Raw genomic sequence first — 5,228 nt, 5'->3', positions numbered from 1 at the left:
TGCTTAGGACATGCCTGGTCTCAACGTAGTACACTTCCAACCAGGGTGGTCTAAGCAAATCAGAATGATACTTTCTTTTAAGAAGTTTAAACAATTTCAATTTCCCTGGCAAAAGAGTAAGTTCTTGTAAGGTTAAAGTCTTGACAGTCAGCAAAAATACTTGTTCAGATGCCAAAAGATCCTAGTCACATTGGCAACATTAGTAGTCACGTTGGCACCATTAGTATTACAACAAAAGTGTCAGTACAGATAAACTTAGAATTTGCTCATCATTTTGGATTGCAGCTGAAATACAAGTCAAAATATCCTACTCAAGTTAATATTTGAGACTTTTCTTTTTGTTCTTTCCCAGTAGATCATGGAAATGTGAGGATTGCATGAAACTTTAATAATAATAATGATTATGAAAATAAACACTAAATTTAGAGCTTACATAGTGATGGAAACAGTTACAAATATTTTACAAATATTAGTTTAAAAAAACTTCTCAAGAAGCTTATAGGAGCTAGTGTGTCAATTAGCATTTACTTTATAACAAATTACTTTAAGATTTAATAGTGTTAAACAATAGCACTCATTTTTGCTCACAATTCTGCTGTTCAATGATTTGGACTGGGCTCAGCAAAGTGGTTCTTCTGGTCTTGATTGTGCTTATTCATGTATTTGTGTTTGAATGGTGTTTGGCTGGGGGCTTTCTGGTCTAGGATAGCCTCAACAGGGATGGCTTGTCTCTGCTCTGTGTGATCTCTCATTCCTGAACACAGTAGCCTAGACTTGTTCATATGGCAGCTGGGCATGGTTCTGAGAAAGTGGAAGCAGGCAAGCCATCTTAAGGTCTAGGTTCATAACTGGCACACTGTCACTTCTATCACATTTTACTGACCAAAGCAAGTCACCAGGCTAGACCAGATTAAAGGGGTAGGAAACAGACTTCACTTCTTGACAGAAGGAGCTGCAAAGTCCCATTGCAAAGAAAATGCAGACATGGAGTAAAGACTGTGGACATTTTTGCAATCTACCACATGTGGGTACTCTTACTGTTACCATTCTTCAGTGAGGAAACGAAGGCTCAGAAAGGTTATCAAACTAATGGAAAGTCACAGAGCACCCTGATTTTCATTTATCTCTTAACCAGTCATTTCCCTACCCTGTGAAAAAGAATATGTATTGAGTTAAATCTGAGTGATAAGGAATTTAAACAAGATTCAAGCTAAACTTTAAAGTGATTTGGCAAGGCTTATTCAAATTTTGGCCCCAACCACAAAGAACACACTAGTACCCTAGTAAATCAGAAAATGGTATTTGTCTTTTGAGAAGAGAGTGAATACAACAATTTATCACACTTTGAAAGGAGAACATACAGTTGGTTTTCCTTTTAGTTTTAAGGACAAAAAGAGAAATATTTGCCTTCTGCCTCTCCTCATATATCACAAGAAAATCTCATGACTTTTTCATTCAGAATGGAAAATGGAGTTCTCTTTTTCAAGGTTTTCTTAGGAGTTGGCAACATTTTAAGTATGTAAACTGGGGTTGGATGCTGTGAGTTCAGTGTGGTGTCAGCAGCCACCTTGTCTAAGTGCCCTGTCCCTCCCAGGGTTGGATCTAGCTGGTGAGCTGGCCACTACTCGGGTGAAGGAACTCATGAGTGATTTAGAGCAATTTTTCACTCTGGGCTATGAAAGTACAGAATGAGCAAGTTGAATTGTTAGAAGCAAAGCCTCTGTCGGTTATTTATCATGGGACTTCAAAATTCCTCACACTTTCACACAGTGTTTGACTTAATCAGAGGTCATCAGAAAGGCAAATATTCAAAATGTCTAATTGGTTATTCTGGGTAATGTTATAAGTGACTTTTATTTTCACCTTTACAATTTTATTTTGTGAACAAAAATTTCTACTATAAAGGTATTTTTTATCATCAGAAAAAATGATTAAAAAGATCTGTTAGTGATAGAGGCATACGAATGAAGACGGAATTTGGAATCTACACCAAATATCATCATTTATAATTCAGATAGGTAAAGATAACAATACTTTTTCTTAGGATCGTCCTTGAATTACACATAAAATATACCAGCCTGGGGGATGCCCCTGTCTTCTCAGCCAGCCAGCAGCTCCCAAGCTGTGGCGACGCTCCCAGGTCATGAAGTCAGTGGATTGCCACTGCTGAAAAAACTCTGAGGCTGAGGATGAAAGTTTGTGTTTCTTTAAAGAAAAGAAAGTCCAATCGGTTCTCATATTAATGGACCTTACATACCAAAGTATCCCTTATCGAAGCACCCTGGTCAGCCCTTGACCAGTTGAAAACTTTTATGTTCCTTCTTTTCTTTCCACCTTCTCCTTTGTGCTTTCTCTATCTATAAAATATTGTAATTGGCTGGTGCAAGAGACATTAAAAAACAGTTGAGAATTTACACTTTGTATCACAAGATGACTTCATGTGGAGATCCCTCACAAGGGAGTCCATTTATTTTCTGACCACCTCTATTTATTAGACGTGATCATTTCTGGGCATCTTCAAAAGTCTTTCCTGACTATCTCTTTTCTACCCTAGCCTGGGTAGGTGCGCATCCTTCATTCCATACTACACTGCATTTTATCAGATCTGGACTTACCACCCTGGTGGTGATGGTCTTATTTGCACAAATATCTTCTTTGCTAGTATGTGAGCTCTTTAAGAGCTAGAGCTGAGTGTAGTTCATGTTGGATGCCTACCACTGGGACAATGCCTGGTTCATAGTACATGCTTATTTAAAAGTTGTTGATTGAGAGAGTGAATGAATGGTATGGTTTACTAAATTTCCAATGGAGGTGGACCCTCCCTAGAAGGAGGGCCCAATGAATAATGTAAAGAAAAATGGCTTGCCTTCTTGCTACCTGGCATAATCACAATTGGCCTGCAAGTATTGGGCAGAGAACTGTTTACAAGGCTACTCTCCCAGCTCCTAGTGCCACTAAACACTGGGAGCACACAATTTCATGATACAAAGCAGGAAAGGGCTTAAGAGACTCATGAGACTCAGACTTCTTAGACATCAAAACACTCTTATGAAATCATATTTTGATGAATGAAGGGTAAATTAGTAGGAAAGATGTGGATTAGGAGTCCCCTGGAGCACAATTTGGTTGAGAAACCAAGAGGCGAAGCATCTGCCTTCATGTAGTTGGAGTTTCTCAGACCAACGCATTCAAGTCTCACTTGCAGAAACGCCAAGCCTTCCTGTCACACCACCAGGCAGGCCAGTGAGGTCTTTAGTGATCCCCACTAGTGAGTCAGGGCCCAAATGCACATGACAGGGGCAGGTGCTCCAGGTAGTTTAGCTTTGCTTTGTTTATTTATTTATTTATTTATTATTATTTTTTTGAGACAGGGTCTTATTTTGTTACCCAGGCTGGAGTGCAGTGTCACGATCAGAGCTCACTGCAACCTCGAATTCCAGGACTCAAGCGATCATCCTGACTCAGCCTCCCAAACAGCTGGGACTACTGGCATGTGACAAAATGCCTAATTTTTTAATTTTTTGTAGACATGAGGTCTCGCTATGTTGCCCAAGCTGGTCTCGAACACCTGCTCAAGACATCCTCCTGCCTCAGCTTCCCAAAGTGCTGAGATTACAGGCATGAGCCACTGCGCCTGGCCCAGGTAATTTTTCTTAATGCATGGTGTGGCTTCACCAAGAATCCCTGGTGGGATCTGTTCCTGCAGGATCAGAGCTTGAGGCATTCAGTGCGGGCCCATTAGAGAAGACATTCCAGACTCTGTCAGGGGAGAAATTTTGATAGCATAATTGAATTCCAAGATGGGACCAGAAGGGTGAAAGGTGTAGAAATCAAGTCAGGGAGTGGAGAAGAGCAAAGAAGTTTGGCTCACAGAGGAGTCCATGGGTCTGGAGAAGCCGATCTTGCAGAAGTGTGCAAAGCTCTCCATCTGAGACAGTTTTGTGGTCTCTCGTGTCTGGCTTGTTGCATTCAGCATGATTCTCTACTGTTTATCTGCCTCTGACCCTCTCCCTCTTACCTGTGTACCCTCTGACACTCTTGAGATCATAGTGGAGAACACATCTCAGCGTTATAAGAGAGAATCCTTTTCTAAACTTCTCGACACGAGGTTATCTACTTTCTGCTTGGATTCGCTCATGGATGTGGAGATCACTCCCTCTCAAAGCAGCCCATTTCTTTTCTGCTCTCCTCTAATTATTAGAAAACTCTTGCTTGCACAGAGCTGAAATCTCATTCCCTAAAACATTGACCTTGTGGTCTGCGTCCTGCAGAAACACAGATTAGGTCTAAAAAATACATCTGCATGACGGACCTTCCACTTCTCTGTGAGCCCAACAGCCTTAATCCCTTCTGCTCCTTCCAATTGATTTCTAGACCTGCACCCTTCTGTGCATCTTGGAATTCACTTTAGCTTATCAAAGTCTTGCAAAACAATAATATCCCAAGCTGACTACTGCTGTAATAGGAAAACTGCATCCCTAAAACCCTTTGCAGTATTATTTTTTAATCACAATCTGTATAGGTCATTTCAATGAGAAAAAGTTGGTGGTGATGGTATGAGGGAGTGGTTAGAAGCTAGAGTTTCAGGCTCCCAGCTACAAAGTTGTTTATTTTCAGCAGGAATTTCAACAGCAAAGATGTCTTTGTAAGCTTATTTTGATTTTGCAACCTAAAAATAATAAACAGGTTTATCATAAATGGGAGGAGGGGGAAAGGAAACTAAACATTGAGCAAATTCTGAACTGCACGTAAGCCCAGACGAAAATCAACAAGTTCTGACGCTGGAAAAGTAAAAGGAAGCCAGCATTGACAACCATCAGTGAAAATCAAAGGAAAACAATGGCCCCGAGTGGTCGCTGTGTGCTCTGGGCTGACTGCTGCACACCAGGCTATCTCCCAGTTGAGACCACACTATCAGCCCATAGCATGCTCAGAAGTCACATAAAGCAAAAATACACTCTAATGAACTGATTTCTTCTATCCAGTTCACATGATGAAAACTTGTCTGGTAGAAAGAAAAATCTTGTCATTGAGCTGTGATTTTAACATCAAAAGATACAGCATCTTTAGCCAGGCATGGCAGTGCATGCCTGTAGTCTCAGCTACTCAGGAGGCTGAGATGGGAAGATCGCATGAGACCAGGAGTTGGAGGCCAGCCCGGGCAATATAGTGAGAACCCATCTCTACAAAAAGTGAAAAAACAGCTGGGCATGGTGACAGGTGCCTGA

General features: G+C 40.9%; 1 annotated feature.

Annotated features, from left to right (window-relative positions):
• Nucleotides 3,623-3,853: a silencer, noted in NCBI's record as "fragment chr10:29495743-29495973 (GRCh37/hg19 assembly coordinates)". NCBI's record gives its function as "represses an EF-1alpha promoter that drives an FKBP-Casp9 reporter gene in an ReSE screen in K562 erythroleukemia cells {active_cell/tissue: K562}" and the evidence as "EXISTENCE:reporter gene assay evidence [ECO:0000049][PMID:32094911]".

The sequence above is a fragment of the Homo sapiens genome, chromosome 10 (assembly GCF_000001405.40).
Source record: "Homo sapiens chromosome 10, GRCh38.p14 Primary Assembly".
Lineage (NCBI taxonomy): Eukaryota > Metazoa > Chordata > Mammalia > Primates > Hominidae > Homo > Homo sapiens.
Note: the sequence above shows the minus strand (reverse complement) of the source record. Positions and strands in the feature narration are given on the sequence as shown.